Source organism: Homo sapiens, chromosome 6, assembly GCF_000001405.40.
Source record: "Homo sapiens chromosome 6, GRCh38.p14 Primary Assembly".
Taxonomy (NCBI): Eukaryota; Metazoa; Chordata; class Mammalia; order Primates; family Hominidae; genus Homo; species Homo sapiens.
The window spans coordinates 68,646,457-68,665,563 of NC_000006.12; the positions used below are offsets into that span (position 1 = coordinate 68,646,457).

The window sequence follows — 19,107 nt, forward strand, 5'->3', positions numbered from 1 at the left end:
ACAAGAGCGAAACTCTGTCAAAAAAAAAAAAAAAAAAGAAAAAAGAAAAAAAGATGGACTTCCAAGTGCTGGGGAATTGATAAAAATAAATAAATACAAATGATAACACTGAATTTTCATACTACTTCATATGTTTTTATTTGTTGTTTTGTTTGTTTGTTTTTTACCTTTCATAAAACTTGTGTATACAGGACTGGAGAACATTTTATTTTATTTTTTGTTTTGTTTTTGGGTAAGGAGAATGGCAAGGAAGAGAAGAAGTGACTTGAGTAACTATGTGATGCTACATAGCAGTTATATGGGTCTGCAAAGTTTTGAGAACCATTTGAAACTTTTAATTGTGTAAGAGTGTGTGTGTTGTGGAGAGGAAGGGTTGGTAACATTGGTTTAAAAACATATCTTCTCTGGTATTTTTATTATTATGCAAACATTTATTTATTTACTGATTAGGAATCTACTGAGTGCTTGATGTTTTGTGCATGGAATTCTTAATGAGTATAATCCTGGGGACCAGAGAAGGGAATTTGGGTTGGAAACTTTAAGAAGGATTTCCGTATTTCATGTGTGTATGGTTGAAAATATGAATGAACAAAGCAAAATTGAAATAAAAGAATACTGTTAATAATGAAGTTGTTGAGTGTGGAAGGTGTAGTAGCTCTCTAGAATGAGACCTGCATACATTAAGCATGGATTTCTTATAACCTCTTATCGTAATTGAAATAAATTTTCACTGAGGTATTTTTCATTATGTTTAAAACTGCTTATGTTTCTTTGTGAAGTAGAATTTTATTTAAGTATTATGTTTACACTTGAAACAGTTATAATTTTTCTATATATTTTTCATTATACGATGTCATTATATGGTATTTAATGTATCTAGTACCCAACCCTTTAAATTTTATTTTTGTACATTAATGTACATTAATATAAAATATTCTCTTCAAATCAGCACAGTTTTGGAAACTTTGTTTTTATTCTTATTTTTGGCTATAAACCATAGAGAATTGATAATCAATAATGATTTAGAGTGCCACTTAATTATTTGAACTTGACTATGAATTTAGAGCATTTAACAAAGGATCATAAAGCCATAGAGATATGTGTCTGTTTTGTATTAGATGAAGAACAGGTAACATCTCAATACCTTTGTGTTGATGAAGGCATGACTAATAATACACGACTTAGATCAAGATAGTGGTGTGTGCATCATCCTGGGCCTGGAAAGCTGTCCTTTGAATATCATTGCTGATCGGCAGCAAAGCTATTTAAGTTAAATGATTTCCGACTATTTTAATCTTTGCTGGATTCTGCAAAATGAGGTTTATGTTTTGAGATCTATTTTGAAAAGAAATTATCTTGAAATGCTAGTCCATATTTAAACACTTGGAAAAAAGGATGACTTAGCTGGAATTTCATTCAGTGAATTCTGATAAGTTATTAGAGACCAATGATCCCGAATATCCCCCCACAATGCTTACATAATTAGATACTAAAAAAAATCAAAAATGGTTAGCATCAATTTGAGAATTCTGATATTTTCATAAGGTAAAATTTAAAAATATCATCTATGAGACTCTATGAAATGCCACAGGCTCTACATTCAATTATCTTTCAACTATCCTCCAGGAATTTTGTGCACTTGCAGAGAATGACCTAGCTACACGGCTGTAAAAGTTTAATAAAGTATTTCTAGTGTGTATGGAAAATTCAATAAGTAACAAATGCACTAAATACATGAGCATGTAGCTGATTAACTCAAAATTAACTGAATGAATAGGAGCCTTCCTGAAATTTTAAATGTTTGCTGATGTGCATTTTTCCTATAACCAGTCCCTATCACACAATGATGATGCCTGAGGCATGTTATAAAATATGAAGGTAAAATGGTTACTGTTTGGTTTCTGTTTCTATCATGTAAAATGAAATAATTTACCTGCTAACTTAATCCTGGATAAATATTTTCTCAAATTATTTCTACTAAAAAACAAGTTTATTTGGGGAGTGTGAGTTTTTTTGTTTTTTTTTTCGAAAGAGAGCAAATATGGGCATGAGAAAGACATTGGAACGCTGATGGATCCAGATTGCAATATTTAGGATGTAGCAAATGTACTCAGACGTTAATGCTTAAAAATCATTAAGAAAATTGTGGAGTCAACCACGGAAGATTATGTAGGTAGAATTACTTCTTAACAACAGTTATGTTAAGGTAATAGAAATGTCACAGAAACATTTGCTTTCCTGGGTGGTTCATACTAGATGAGTAGTACACAATATTCATTTCATGACATTTCTCCTGGTGTTCCTTCTTTTTAAGGTGATTTTTAAAATTTTGATAATTTTTTTTTAAATTTCTATATTTATGTACCTAAACACTAATAATTTGTTCTCCAATAAGATGCATTTTTAAAGAGAATCTTTACATATCACCCTTAAGAAAATAAAGAACTAAAGCATTTAAATAAAGATTTCATAAATACAAAGAATATAATAACACCTATCATTCAGAAAATGCTTTCTAGTTTGCAAAGTTCTATTGCACATATTGTTTTGTATGGGCAATAACTGTGTCAGTTACATATTATCTGCCCCATTGAAGTGTCAATTATGCAGAATACTCTAAAAATCATGGTCTTTCTTTTTAAATAATTTTACTACAAATCAGATCAAATGAAAAGCTAAAGAATTTCAGAGCTATAAATTTTCTCACTCCCTCTTATGTCTGGAGTACTTTTGAAACTGAATCACAAATATTCAGACTTATAAAGATCTTTCAACACTATTTAGTCCAAATCTTACCTGATTAATGGAACCCTAATCTACAAATATGTAATGGGACCATCATTTCAGATAAGCATAACTCTTTTGGAATACACATTCAACAACATCTCTATAAGATAAAAGATGAACAGTCTAATTGACTGTCTAAATGACTATTTGATAAATCTAATCATTAAAATTACCTGATATTTATTCAGGACAATAATCAGACATTGTCTGATTGACATACTACTTAATGTAGACTAGTGTCTACAAATTAAAGCTTTCATTCATTAGATTTTTTGTACTATTTTGTATACATAATTTAAACAAATATGAGATAGGTCTCAAAAAAACGATTGATTTTTAGTCTAAGATTATTAAATTTAAAGAGCATGTATTTCAACTTCAGAGTCTGTATAGATTTACTAAGACAATCTATCTTGGATTTTTACTTTATTATCATTGTCTGGGGAAATCTATGTTTTGGAGAAATAATGTGCATTCTTGGTTACCTTGTGATACATTGAGAAATAGCATTGAAGGTGAGAAATGAGCAAAGTCAGGGTGTCTCTTTTTCTGGGCTTCTCGCCTTGCATTGCTGTGGGTTGGCTGCATGCCCCTGTCCTCTGTTGAAGGTTACAGCTTCTGTCAGGTGACCTCCCTCTTTGATGCTCTGGTGACCACGCGCCTTACTCCTTTAAGCCTATGGGCAGTAATGGCTCCCCACTGTTTCTAGCTCTGGGCACTGAACTATCTTTCCTTGCTTACTCAAAGCACTATTCATGCTGTTGTACTTGCTTCTCATAATACCTTGAGAACAACAGGTTTCTTACTGGGACCCTGACTAACACCAAGGTGTATAGTTGAGTTAGTGAGGTGATTTCAGAGTATATATAAAATAAATCGGAAATCAGTGTTTTATATTGTGGTCCTTCCATTTAATGTACTAAAGGTCTTATGTAATAATTATCCCTTTTGCAGATGGGCGCACAGAGTAGCGCAAGTGTACAGAGAAATAAATAACAATGAAGTATTGAAAATTAAAATATCAATATGTGTTTGTCTTAATAACTCTTCTTTGAGTTTAGGCCCTCTAGGTTTTTTTCGGTATTTATCTGTTGGTTTTTTTTTAATTGCATCACAATTTTTAAAAATTGCATAATACACATACGTTCATATACATCATACATAATATTTATTTTCAGTATTGATGAGACAATGGAACATTTGCACTGCCCTAGATGTTCAAAGAAATTTGTGTGAGCTGACAAAAACAAATTACTTCAAGGCTCCCATATAAAACATAAAAATTCCTGACAGATTAAGAATTTAGTCTAATTTTATATCATTTTAAAAATGGAAAGATGAAAATAAAAATAGAATTTTGGTTGCTGTTCAAGTTTCATTTTGCCTGTTGATCTCACTGTCTCAAAACAAAACAAAAACAAAACACATACACAAAATGTATTTTTGTGTATCTTCTTCGTTTTATTCCGGAAAACAATCAAGGCAACTAAGTTTTCCTTTATAATTTCATAAGGAAAATTACAGCTTTTTATTTTTCCTTTTTGTTTGTCCATTTGTTGCTTTTCACATCAAGAAAGGAGCCTGAGAGGAAAAGAAGTAACTGAAAAAAAATTAAAAGGCTGACTTTTCTTCTAGACTTCTATTGAAACAGCTTTATGATTTTTTTTGAATAGGCAATGCAAAACAGATATTTTATGTCTGCTGGATGTTTTTGGAAATACTTCTTATGTTTACTACTTATAAAAATTGTAATGTAAAAAGAGGGCAACTTGGGAAGACAAAAATCTGTTTACTTTATATAATCTTTCCACATAAATCTGGCAAACTTTCAAAGATCTGCCTCTGCACTGTAGACTGAGAAATGTCAGTTTATTTTGGCTTCCAAGAGAGGTCAGCTTCCTTTACAGATATGTCAGCCTGTGGTCAGTTCTCTTTGGCTGGCCTTGGTTTTTGCAACTTAAAGGGCAAACTGTATATTTTTTAAGTGCTGCTTGAGAAATTAGCCAATTGCAATGGCCATTTTATTTTTCAACAGGCTTTGCTTTCAAATGTGATGAAGTAAACAGCCGTGGAGCAGCATCATTTCACTTCCAAGAAAGAGAACATTTTAATACTTTAGCTTGTAGTATATTAAAAATCTACTCTTTTAAAAACATATGAGTTCTTTCTGTTTAGTGGTTTCCCTGGAATTTTCTAATGATCATACTTTGGTGTTCAATTGATAATAAAGGGTCACAAATGAATTCTAGGTATAATAAATATTACATGTGCTTGCCTCTGGCCTCTGTGTTCTGAGACCACAGAAACCACAAATATGGAGCAGTGGGAGTTTAGGAGAGCAGAAGTTGATCCACTAAATAAAGAACTGATTTAGGCAAAAGAAATAAGTAAATGGTAGGATGTGAATTAATACAACATTATCTCCCCTTAGCAGTGGAACCTTTTTTTCTAAATGGAAGCCAATATATAAGAGCCTTTTAAAAACAGAGCTGCTTTGGATGAAGTGGGCAGAAAGCCTAAAGCCGTGCCTAATTAGTCTCTCCTTTCTTCCTATATTGGTAGGAGAGGCAACTCCTCTTGAAAAACCACTGCAGAACTATAAATCAGTGTCTCCATATGTAGCCACATACAAGAAATTAATGTTTTAAACTTCCTTCCATTGAAAACTAATGTTTTCAATTTTATGGTCACCAAGTATGTGTAAGGACTGTCAGTTTGTTCCTACTGTGTTTTGCTTAGAACAAAATTCATAATTTATCTAGGATCCTATGGCCTGCATATCTATCTGTGCTTAATTTTTTTCCATACTCTGCTCTTCCCCACACAACCCAATAATTGAGTTTGCCTGAGTCTAACTCCCACCCCTTATGCAAGTCTTCAGCTTTCTCTATGGTGCTTCTCAGGTATCTTCAATGCCTGCTGGGTAGCGTCCGATAAGCGTTCTCTGTCACTTCTCTACCATGCCTCACCCTGTCTGGTAGGCATTTGCAATCTCCTGCCAGGACTCAGTGTCTCTGCTTTTGCTTAGCACAGACCTTAGTGTCATGAAGGCAAGCTGTCTTTAAGCCAGCAGTGAGACTCCCGCTTTCCCACTCTATGTCACACTTGTGAAATAACAGATCTGCTCATGACCGACCTCTTGCTCCTGGAACATAAACACTTTCTTCAGACTCTGTCTGGAGCGAGTTTGTCCTGAGGCCCCCTGTTGGACATCAAGACAGGCACCACATTTCTCCATCTTTCTCTCTGGTCATCTGAACTCCAGACCTCTTCCACCCTGGGCTCCCAAACAAAAATCCTCCTGCAAATTAGCTTACTCCAATCATGTGTTTTTCTCACATACTAGTTTAATTAGATAAATATGAATATTTATTTAGAATCCTTTAAAATTTTTAAGTACAATTGATAAATATTCAGAAGGCTTAATTTTAAATCTTTATAAATGTAATACATTTGGGTGGTATTCATTCTGCCTCTCCTTTATTGTTTTGATAACCCTCAAATATTTCAGTTTCAAACTCAAGTTTCTTGGAATAAGCTGAAGTTATTAGAGCAATAATAATTATGCTTAATTCCTTTGGTGTTTACACATAATGAATATCCTTAACCGAAGACATGTTAATAAAATAGCAACAAAAAGCTTATTAGCATTGACATTACTTAGATATCAGTAGATAATTGAGATGTCATGAATGTTTTTCACCAAATTGTTACAGACTCCTACCATTCTGGGTTTCTGTAGGAATTGTGTTACTGGCCTACTAATGGTTGTTTGGGGTTATATGATTGGCTCTGGCTAATGAGTTGTGAGCAAAAGTGACATTGCTCACTTCTGATCTGAGTCATTTTATTGCTGGAGTAAGACTGTGAAAGTGTCTTTGTTTCTAGCATGGATACCTGTACCTAAAGAGAAGGGGCTCCTCTCTCAGCTGAGTTCTTAAGTGACTAAAATGAGAAGAGCCTCTGCTCTAAGCCTTTGCCTGTCTATGATGACTGTGAGGCATGAGCAAGGAATAAAACTTCCTTTTTTGAGACGCTGAGAAGTTAGGGGTTGGTGGTGTCACTACAGCCTAATCTATCCTATTCTGACATATCTATAATGTCCAGTTGAGGTGGATTGGGGAACAGTTGTGGTGTGCTAAAACGTGATTAGTTACATTGGTGATGTGTTCTGTAATCCAGATGTAATAAGGTGATGGGCATGTCAGTAAATGATATTTTGGGGGAAGAATGTATGCACATATTCCACATTGTACTCTGAGGTAGCTGCATATATTACTAGCAAAGCACTCTAGAACCCATTTTAGGTATGATTTATCAAAAATGATCTTGTTTTAGCCTACTTAAAATTAATAAATACTAAAATAAGTACAGTAATTGTATATTTTTATAGGAGACTATTCTTTCAACATTTAAAGATACTCGAGTTTTTCTTTATTTTAAAACTACATTAGAGAGAAGGTTCTGTGGTCCTTTGTTGAACCATGATTGTTACAGAACTAAGAGAAAAACATTTATTCTAGCATGGTGGTTTTGCTGAAAGGTAAGAACTTGTCCTGTTCTCTTTTTGTCCTTCCTTTCCTTCCTGCCTATCTTCCTTCCTTTTCTTCTCTTGTATTCTTTCGTCTTTTCTCTCTTCTATTTCTCTCACAGCCCCTCCCTCCCTCTCTCCCTCTCTTCCTCCTTTGTTATTTTACTCCTTTTTTTTGATACATAGGCTATAATTTATAAATGTTGGTCTATAGGTTGGACATTGAAATAATTTGCACGGAATCTGTTATTAATATACATGTAAGTGTTTGGTAAACAAATATTTCTACAATAGGTCATGAGGAACTTGTAATCACTTAGTAAGCACTGCTTCATTAATCTTAACAATTTTCTTGTGAGGTTAATTGTGTAACAATAATTAACATCCCCTTTGAGTAGGTGGGCTTTTGTCACACTGAGAAGTATTCTTATCTCCCCTCAGAGGCGGGAGAGGAAAAGTAGGCTGTTGTAAACTTTAAATAAGACTCTGTGAGTTACTTAGTGGGGAGGAAATAATTCTTCCCAATGTGAGTGGTATGCTGGCAAGCTTTGTTCTACGTGGCTGTGCCTTCCATTTAATTTCCTGGCTTTCTTATTCTCAAGAAGTTTGGATTATGATATGCTCATTAATTATAAAACAGACTTCAGTAGTCAGAGAATAGTACACATAGGCCATTGAGCAAGTAGGAAATTAAAACAAAATGAAAAAATAAACACTTTCTGCTTTTTTTTTCTTCTTATGTATTGTGAAGAAAATCCAGGGATGGAGTGAATTATCAGTTTAGTTCCCACCTTTGTATATCTGATCTGTCACACACAAATCCACATATACACTTATATGTGAATATATGGCATTAAATGCTCACAAGCAGTCTATGCATATATTATTTGAAAAGATAATCATTTTTCAATAGTTTGAGAATATATTCCCTGTTAAACTGAATTTACTAACTAAATATTTACTAAATATACTCTTAACCAGGGTGATTTATGAGATCATAGGAATAACAAAGAATAAAAATACCTTCTGCAAAGGAAGCTTTAAATTTTAATTTGATTTGTTTGAAAATTCACATGAAGTCTTTGTAATCAATACATTCAGATCAGTATTCTACGAATCTTTCTGCATGTCAGAAATTAAAATTTTATTTAGGATTGAAGAGTAAATCATTTGCCAAGTAGGTTTCTAAAAGTGAAAACAAATGTCAGTTTCAAAAAAGAACAATTTAGTTTTACATTTCTGAGGAAGTCACATATATTATGTATTAATAAATTAACAGTCTCACATTCTCTTTGATCATTGATTGTTTCTTGGCAGTTTGTTACATACTAGATTCTACACATCTCACAGCTATAAATTCAGTACCAGAATTTAGGGAGATAATTTTAATGTAAAACAAAGATTGTTGTAAGAGACAACATGTCATAGTGTTTAAGGGTCAGACTCCCTGGGTTCCAGTCCCAATTTCCAGCTCTGTGGCATTGACACTTTTACACACTTCTCTAAACATCAGGGTTTTGTTTTGTTTCGTTTTTTTGTTGTTTCTGTTTTCTGTGAAGTGGTGATGATTTTAGTGAAATAATTGGAAGACTGAATGAGGTAATGCATGTAAAATACTTAGCATAATGTTTGGACTGTGTAGTAAAGGCTCAATAAATGTTAAATTCCATTAATTGGGTAATCCTGGAACTCTTCACTGCAATTAGAATTCTTTATTACAACAAATAAAATTTTGATTCATCATAAAAAGTAATCAATTTCTTTAATGGACCTCAGAGAAATTAAAATGCCTCCTGGACTGTTAAGTCCTCAGAAATGTATTGCATCTTTAATTCTTTATTTCCTCTGAATACTCATGCACATGAGAAAAAATTTCTAAGTTAAGACATGTCTATTCTCCTTTAGTCCTCATTTCAAATATCAACCACTGTTTACAGTATCACCACTTTTTCCTTTTAAAATGGACTAATCAGTTTTATTTAGAGATTGTTTGACAAAGGGTGATTGCCCCAAATGATGGTTTCCTGAAGACCAGGATATACCAACCAAGAAAAGGCAAGTATATTTTGTCCACCTAAGTAACTTCTTCTTCTGTGTATTTTTCTGCAAATATGGATGTTCCTTTGGACTAGTCCTTTCTCAATCATATTGAAGTTTAAATATATTTACTTTAATTGGTAAAATCAACTTAAAAATCTCTATTCTGATTTTTTCCTAAGGATTGGTATGCATGTTAAAAGTAACCAAAGTATAATTTATGTCTTGGCCTGTATTGAATGCCTTTTTCCTCCTGAGCAGAGTCAATTGAAAAATATCTTGCTTGCTGCCTCCATTTTTAACATTTATTCTTAGGCTTAATGTAGGAAACTAGCAATAAAATATAAATCCATATTCTATTTTTTAAAAGATCATACTGTTTTATTTTCAATTTTATGAAACTTTTACTTTTAGATATTACAAACAAGAGAATTAGAAATGTGACGTTAGACTTTTAACTCTCTGTAGTCCTTTGTATTTAGGAGAGAATTTGGATTAGAAAACCACCTTCTGGAGGAGATTTTGACATTACTGTGTGAGCAAATTCAGGCAAGTCACATAATCTCTTAGAGAGAACTTCAGTTTGCTCAGTTATAAAGATCAAAATAATCATCTGTAACACACTGGATTATATGGAAAGTGTAATATACACGAAATCTATTTAGAAAAGTGAAAACCAGCATGCAAAAATGTTGTTGTAATTATTATTATTGCCAACATAAACTTGTAAATTTGTTCACATTTATTAGTTTAGTTCATTGGCCTGTATGTATGTGAAATAATGGTCCAGTCCTTTGATGATAAATATCACAAATTGTTGGATAGATTTGCTGGGTTTGACATTTTAAATTAAGACTCTGATATTCTGTTAGGAAAACATTTATTTCTTTGGTTTTTCTTTTTACTTTCTATATCACTGGAAGCAATGAGTTTCGGCTTCATATTCACATATTTCAGAGTTCCACTCCCAACCCTGCTTTCCACTAGTATGACCTTTGGCAGTTTGCTTCACAGTTTGGTTCATAGAAAATATGAACTTTATTTTCTGCATCTGCAAAATAGAAATCATATCTATTCTTTCTTAATATAGTCTGTACCAAAAGCAATATTAAGATTAATGCACAAATAATGCAGAAGTGGGAAGTTCTCTTAATTCAGGTTTTTTAAGTAATCTAAAACGTTGTTTTAGGCTGCCCATAGAAAATGAAGTATAATGACTTCGATTTTATTCAATTCCAGTTTTACTCATCTGTAGATGAAGATCAGAAATATAATGAGTTGCTTTATAATAGGCTTCCACTCTTACATCAATCAGACAAGCAGCCTAAAAATAAACACATCCTTTCTGTCCTTGTGTTTCCTGGGAAAGTCAAGAGTTAGCATTAAAGGAAAATGAGTACAAATGAAGATTTATCAAAAAATTTCCCCAAGTGCTAAAAACAAAAATGGTCTGGGAGATATTGTAGTTTTACAGAACTATTTGTTTTCTGTAGGGGGCAAAGGCTATATATAAATAAGCCTAGGTCTCAGTGCCATGTCATGTAACTAAGAATTAAATGTATTAGTCTTTAAAGAATGCAAATGAGGTAAATTTTACATCAGTAAAAATTTTTAAACAGACGAAAATATGGAAACGTGTTAACAGAGCTTCAAAATTTTATGCTATGTTTTTGAATCAGTCTTGAAAATACTACAGATTGGTGTCTGTCCTCCTCTGCAGGTGATAGGTGGGACTATTTCAGAGGACAAATGTGATCAAGCAGCTGGCCATGGTTTTGTTCTGATGGGATTACTCAGCAAATTTAGTAGATAAACTAAACATTTTCCTATTACTTTCTACTTAAAATACTTACTCAACTTGTAAAGGGTTTTATCAAACCTTAGACTTTGTAAACACTTTTAAAAACACTCAGTTTTGTGCCTTTGAACAAGTGTAGCAAAATTAATAGGTGAATCTATATGCAAATTTGTATAGATCTTTGCTTAATTCAGGTAATATCAGCCTAATATATCTATTTTGATTAATTATGTATTTGATTAATTAAACACAACTGGCATTGCACAACTTAACCCCAAATGTATAAACTTTTCTGTTAACCTGGCATCTATGGGAAATGGCTATTTTAGTAATCCGTTAATGGAAATTTACCATCTGTAGTAGATATTTTGAGAATTCAAATGGAACAAACAACAGACTACTAAGCCCATACTTTGTATTTATTTATTTGTGTATTTCATAATCACAATACTAATGAATTATTCCTGTGTGTCAGATAAAATTTTAAATATTAACTCTTTCATTCTTCCTAAGAGCCCCATGAGATAGCTGTTATTATTACTTTTGTTTTCTGGATGAAAAGACTGAGACACAGAAAAGTTAAGTGACTTGCATAGTATCACATTGAGAAGAGGCAGAGCTGAATTCAAGTTCATTCTCTGAGCCCTTACACTATACCACCACTCTGTAAAGATACATATAACACAATATTAGTTAAAAACTCAAAAAGAACTTAGCTTATCCCATGTTTTGTAACTATAGGACGTTTCAAATAGAAAAATATATGTATTTTAAATCCTGCAAAGTACATCTCCAGATATGCTTAGTGGCCTCTGTCTGGTAATGTTTCTTCCACCTAGTGTTTTCCAAGCTATAGCCTGCATGTATCCTCACTAATAAAAGGACTTTCTTCTTTAACCAAGCCTATTGCTCAAAGAATTCTGCAATCTCATCTCTCCCAGGAAACCTCCAAGTGATAAAAAATGGAGTATTGATTTCGACCTGCTATGAGACATGCAAAGTTTACTTTTTACTCACTAATACAAAGTTTTTTGGATTGCTACATTTTAAATTAGTATACATATTTATTTAGATATAAGTTTAGTCTATGTTTAACATTTTGTTTTAGAAAAATTTAAATGTCTTAGGTTACAGGGGCATAGATGTTAAAGGCTTTGCTGTTTAATTACCTTGAACTTTACTTAGCACCATATTAACACAACGAGCTGCTTAATCTTTTCTGTAATTATGATTATAGAAGATCAAAATAAAACTAGAATTACAATTATCTTTTAATGATTTTAAGTTGGTAAGATGTCATTTCTACTAGACAAAAATAATTTATAGTTAGATTAAGCATCTCTAGTACCAGAAGATACAGGATACCTGTAAAAGAAAGAGAGGTGAAAAGTTCATTCCCTGGCTTAGAGAATATTTTATTTAATTTTTGTCTTTAAAATAATTTTCATAAGTTCTTTTGTAACTCTCAACTTTTATTTACCTGAGAACCAAAAATAAATATCCTATTAGAAAAAAATAAATCCTGATCCATTCTAACTAAAATAATTTTTTTGTGCTATTTTCTTAATTGTGGTAACACTCAATTACTGAAAATCAAGCTGATGCAATTTTTTTTAAATGATAAGTGATTCAATGTTTTGGGGATGTGACAGTTTCCTCAGAGGAACTAATCAAAACAAAATTATTTTTCTTGATAAAAAACAGCTACTTCATTTTTTCTAAAAAAAAAAGACAATTCAGAGAACTTATGTAGGTCATTGTCAGTAAAAAAATAGGAAGGAGAAAATATAACAAAATTAATTATCTGTAAAGTACATAAGATGATTTAAAGTTTCCTTTTTTTCTTATTTATTTTGTTTTCTTGAATTTATTTCATATTTATATATGCGAAGAAGCATATTTCCCCATAAATATATTTAGAATGACTTTTATTGATTTTTTAATGTAATTTGTAACTATTACATTTATATTACAACACAAATATATATCCTGTCATCTCTAATATGAATTATTTTTATATGTTATCTTTTTAAAAGTTGTATTTAAATTACTCCAGAATTCTTATATCATGCGAATTATGTGAAAGGACTTTAGGTACACGATTAAAAATATTCTAGCATTTGCATAATTTAACAGATTAAGAAGAAGAATTTAGAAAACCATTCTAGGGCAATTTACTTGTTTTGAACATCTGGTTAACACCTGGAGTAATGAAACTTAACACAGCAGTAACCATCTTTTACACTGATCCTCCATGCACACACAATTGCTAGGAAGGATTAACTACTATTAATTCTTGCTTTCTTTTGCCATAGTGATTTTCCTTGAAAAACAAATTGAGAATCCTTTACTGTAGAATAGCTGAAATTTATATGCATAATATGAATATCACTGATTAAAACCATACTTCAATTTAATATAAATGTGACAAAGAAAGCCGGTTCTTGAAGTTAATACAGATAATTATGATAGAATGTCCTTGAAATTCGTATAAGCACATTTTAGGCAATAAACAATATTATAGTAATAGCCAATGTCATATTCAGCAGAAATTAATGTTGAGTTGACTAGATAAAGACTAGGCTCACAACTTTTCAGATGTTTAATATATTTTTAGATTATATATTTTATAATATATTTCATATAAGTACAGTATTAAAATATATTTTAATATTATGTGTTTTTACCTTTTTTAGTGAATCTTTTTTATGTATCACTTCCTTTTTTTTTCATTTAGTATGTTGATACTTTGGGATACTTTCAATGGAAGGTGTTAAATGAGCCTGCATTCTCAGATCGCAGGGAAAAAAGTTACTTTTCTAAGTTAATTTTAAAAATGAATAATCATTATACACACAATTACCTTGTGTAGGCCATACCAGAAGTTAATGATGTGAATTCTCCTTTCAAGGTACAAATGATTCAGAGCCACTCAAATTGATATTCCATCCTTTTAAAATTTTACTTCCATATATCCAAATTTCTAGGTATATTGTAGGCTTATTTAATAGAATGACAATAAAGATAAGATTGAAACACTTGTAAAGTAAACCATGATGGACTTCTTTTAAAATGTCTCATCTCTAGCTAAATGCTTCAATTACATAGCAAGGGATGTTGTTTTATAATTACTCTTACACAGTAATTCCAATTTTTAAGATCTTATCAACAAATAGGATTGAGTTTTGCCATAAGTTTCTTGTCTTCAGCAAAACGTTAATTTAACTCATGCTATGTTACAATAGTTGTGGATGGCAGGCATGTACACAATTTATATGAAATAAGCTGGATAAATGGCTGTCAGAAAATCATGATTCTTAGTGTTTTCCTTCTTCTTAGTCTAAAATCATTTTGCAAAAATTATGTATTTGTATGTATTTATTTATAAATATATAATTACTAACATATATAAAGCATCACAGTGAAGTAGTATACTATGAGTTCAATGATTTTATATACAAAAAAATGTTTTTTGGACCTTAATTTTTCAAGAAGTGCCTCTAGGTATAGTATTACATGAGATAGTAATGGCAAACAGGATTTATTTGTATATTATATTATTAGCCTTCAAGTCAGAGCCACTGAATATAAATAGGGAATATATTTAATAAATACCCAAAATGAGAAGATTATTTAAGGTTTTTGCCATTATTGGGAAGAAACAAACATTATAGGTGGCCAAAATATATATATATATGTGTGTGTGTGTGTGTGTGTATATATATATATATATGTGTGTGTGTGTGTGTGTGTGTATATATATGTGTATACATATATATATGTGTGTATACATATATATGTGTGTGTATATATATGTGTATACATATATATATGTGTGTATACATATATATGTGTGTATATATATGTGTATACATATATATATGTGTGTATACATATATATGTGTGTATACATATATATATGTGTATACATATATATATATATATATATATATATATATATAGTTATGACCTATGGCTATTTGGATTTAGATTGGACTTTCAATGATTGGCAGGAATATAATTTGAGTGAAAGAAACAGCTTTAAATAAAGCTAAATAAATAAATACAGGCTAGGCGCTTTTGATTTTAATCTAATGGTAGTGGGGGAACTTCAGAAGGAATTTGTGATCAGGGTGGAGGGAGACAGGCAAATAGTTATCATGAAGGAGGTAGAGGTTGAGTGAAATTTAAGCTAGCAAAATTAGACTATCTGGGAAGGGGAATAGGGAACCAGATGCCTTAATGGGACCATGATGAGGCTTCTGCAGTAATCCAAAAATAAATTGATTACAACAGAAGTAATTGAAAAACAATGATGAAAAGCAGTGTGATCAGTTTGAGACATTTAAAGTGACAAGGGATCATAAATTTTTTAAACAAAGTACCAGAGGGAAATAAAAGGCTTCACTTTTGATGATTGTGATATTGGCACAAGTCAGGAATTTGCAAAGGGGAGCTGGTTCAAGTCGAGCCAAGTATGGTGCAGAAATGATGAGTGTGAGGTTTTGGCAGATAATTAAATTGGCAATGTCCTGTGTAAAAACAAATAGAATTTGATATTATAGCTCTGTCACTTAATGGCTATGGATTTACCACATAACAAATTAACAAATCTGAGCAGCTTAGAATAGTCCTTTTCATGTAATTTTAGTGCTTACTAATTTTGGGGAAAATATGAAACCATTGGAGAGGGGAGTCTAAGTTAATTTTCAGAGGTAAATTTATTTTACATTATCAATAAGAAAAATAATCTAAGATAAAGAGAGAATTTAAGTGAAGTTCCCAGGATAGGGCGAGATTTTGGGTATTATTCCAATTTAGTCAAATATTGAAAAGAAAAATCAGAATACTGAGGCTTAAGTAAGGAATGTTTTGTGAATAATTAAAGCTGTGGTCACAGGTCATGCGTTTTAGAAGTTGTATTAAAAATTATAAAAAAATTTCTTTCAATATCTGTTAAACAATTGCTTTAGGAGTCTGAGTTAAAGATAAAAGTTGTATTCTAGTGTCCGTACACAAAAGTGATAAATGAGTATATCTCAAAACAGTATTAGAATATAAAATTCATCTGCTATAGAAACTTTAGAACACAATGTATCATCTATAAAAATATTATTTGTAGCTTTAAAAATCAGTTATGCATATATGTTAATGTTATCCCAAGAGAATCATGAAAATAGTATTTAGTGCCTTTCTTTATTGACTCGATTTGACAAATTAACTACAAAACCACTATTTTGGAACTACTCACTTCTAAGGAAAATGGGAAGACAAAAAAAATTAACTCCCAAGGTTTCCAGAATTGCTATTATTTATATTATAATATATAGTATAAGTTTTTTTCTGATATTATATAAACTTTTTGGTTAAATAGATAATAACTTTCTAGTAAACCCATTACGTCAGCTTTCAACAATGTTATATGGAAGTCAGCTTTCAACAATATTATATGGAAAAGTAAATCGAAATACATAAGATAAACATTTAAACAACTTTTATTTTATTTTGACTTACCTCTGTTATTTCAATTCATTTTCCTAAAGTTTCATAAATAAATACAAAGAAGACTAAATTTTGAGTAAGAATTTTCATTGCATTTGTAAACAATAAATTATAGTTTGTGTTCATCATATAATTTTTAGTACTCTGCTCCATTAGACCCATTTTGAAAAGTTGTTGGAAGTGCTTCCTGATTTTTGAATCAAGCTTTCATTTAGATTTTAAAAATGTGTGATTTACCAAATTTGCATAATAAATCATATAAAATACAAAATTATATTCTAGTACTTGAAAAATATTTATATTTTATTAATTATTTTTGGAGTTTTAAACTTGAGATTAATAGGATAAAAATATACATTTGAATTTATGCAACCAATTTTGTACCTTTTTAAATTGTGTATATTTGCTTAGATCTGCCATTACTATCCATGTGTGTTTTGCCCATAGAAGGCAATGCATTGTAGAACTTCAGGGTTAATATGAAAGAAATATTTTGCTTTAAAGAATCGCCTGCTTCAATTTTTGCCTTCATTCCTTAGGAGCCATGAATAGAAACTTTTGAAGCTTTGAATAGAAATAATTTTAAAGTGGCAGAAATTCTACAACTATCAATGAGCAAGTTGCCTTGATTTCATCATGACTTAAATATGAAAAGCCGAAGAGAGCATTTGGCTTTCTACTGTTTCTTCTTCATCTAGAAACTTCGTTATTAAATATGTGAAAGTCAAATATGATTCAAGTATTTTAGCGTGCTACACATTGTGATCTTTAGAGTTACATTATCTATAAATTACAAGTAGCCCAACTAAAACATCTGCAGTGTGGTATTTTTGTGCAATTTAATTTTCACTAAAAGCATGAGAGTCAATAGGAAAGTCACCATCAGCAAAATTGAATTCAGAAATTTCATTCATGGGATAAAAGGATTATTTTAAAATGAGTCGAATATGCTGAATGATATTTGTCGTTTTTAAAATGATAAGTGTTCTCATTTGTCTTAATTTACTTTTATTTCTCATAGCATCCTACATTTTTAGAACGTAATAAATAATTTTAAGCACATTTTTTATGGTAACATCATTACTGAAAGCTGATGTACCCTCATTCTCAAATACCGATTTTTTTTTAGTAGTATGAAAATGTTTGAGATGTGTTTGATATTATATTTAGGATAAAATATTGTTAGAGATTGAATGTTTTTGCCATCCTTCAAATTCATATGTTGAAATCCTAATGCTAATGTGATGATATTTGGAGCTGGGGACTTTGGGTCACAATTAGTTCATGAGAATGGAACTTTCGTGAATGAGATTATTGCCCTTACAAGAAGAGGTCAAAGAGCTCGCAAGTTCTCTTTCTGCCATGTGAGTCATAAAGAAGTCAATGGCTAAGAACATGGAAGAGGGTCCTCACCAGAACCTGACTATGCTGACAACCTGATCTCAGACTTCTGGCTCCCAGAACTATGAGAAATACATTTCCTTTGTTTATCAGCCACCAAGGCTATTGTGCTCTGTTACACCTGCCCAAACTGACTAAGATAGATACCTCTGAATCCTACTATTTTTATGCTCTTCTGGCCTATATAAGAAAGTTGTGCAGAGAGTTAAGCGTGCCCAGGGATTCACAGTGGTAGAATGATGATTTGAACCCAGGCTGTCTCCAGAGCCTTCACCACTGTACTTTACTGCCTCCAAATATTTGTCTGAAATATTGCATAAGGGAGGGTGAAGGGGGCTTTTGGAGGGAAGTGAGCACAAGGAGAGTGTGGCTGACAGTGAGTGGACTGCAGCAGCTTCCATCAGAGTTTAGTCTTATACACATTCTTACTCAATCTTTGGGTGGGAGCTCATCTCTCAGTTTTTGGTGTTCATGTACTGTGTATGTAATTGGATTCGATTCTTTAAGTCACGAGATCTCTCCCCTCCCACCTTCACCAGGCTTCACCTTCAGCCTTCTTTACTGGCCAAGATACTTTAGGGAATGCTGTCCTTCTTGAAAGGTGAAGAGTGAAGGACCACTCTTTATCATCACTTCTCATTTCATGGTATTTTGTAGGTTCTCGGTGCTCTACACGTTCAGAGAAACTTCTCTAGTAACAAACTATAGAAATGATCCCTGAAAGTATAGTCTTGGTATTTTGTAGGTTCTGTAGTTTGTGTTTTGGGGTCATGGTATTTTCATTTCTTTGCTGTAAATGGATAGTTTTTCTTTCTCTTTATATTTGTTTTGTTGTGCCAATTGGGTTTCAAGAGTTGGAAGAAAAGATAAAAAAGATGCTAATTCTTTGAAGTATTTAATTGGAGTCCAAAATATATTCCTCAAAATAATTTTATCTAAATTAACATTATCGGACCTTAGGTATTTTGGTATAACTTGAATATCTCTGGAGGAAAACAACAACAACAATAACAGTGCCTATTGCACAGAGCTCTGTTGGGGTTTAATGGAG

The 19,107-nt window shown here is 31.7% G+C and overlaps 1 protein-coding gene and 1 pseudogene across 1 annotated transcript in view, besides 2 other annotated features; one reads left to right on the plus strand and one right to left on the minus strand.

Moving 5' to 3' along the window:
- Positions 1 to 19,107, plus strand: part of ADGRB3 (adhesion G protein-coupled receptor B3) — a 754,225-nt gene that overhangs the window by 11,175 nt on the left and 723,943 nt on the right. The window lies entirely within an intron of this gene.
- Positions 3,205 to 3,706: an enhancer, noted in NCBI's record as "NANOG hESC enhancer chr6:69359553-69360054 (GRCh37/hg19 assembly coordinates)". NCBI's record gives its function as "activates a minimal SCP1, AML or CMV promoter by ChIP-STARR-seq in primed H9 embryonic stem cells {active_cell/tissue: H9 hESC(primed)}" and the evidence as "EXISTENCE:reporter gene assay evidence [ECO:0000049][PMID:30033119]".
- Positions 10,981 to 11,275: an enhancer, noted in NCBI's record as "tiled region #12523; K562 Activating DNase matched - State 5:Enh". NCBI's record gives its function as "activates a minimal TATA promoter and a strong SV40 promoter by Sharpr-MPRA in K562 cells {active_cell/tissue: K562}" and the evidence as "EXISTENCE:reporter gene assay evidence [ECO:0000049][PMID:27701403]".
- On the minus strand, positions 18,672 to 18,789 carry LOC124901511 (uncharacterized; annotated as a pseudogene).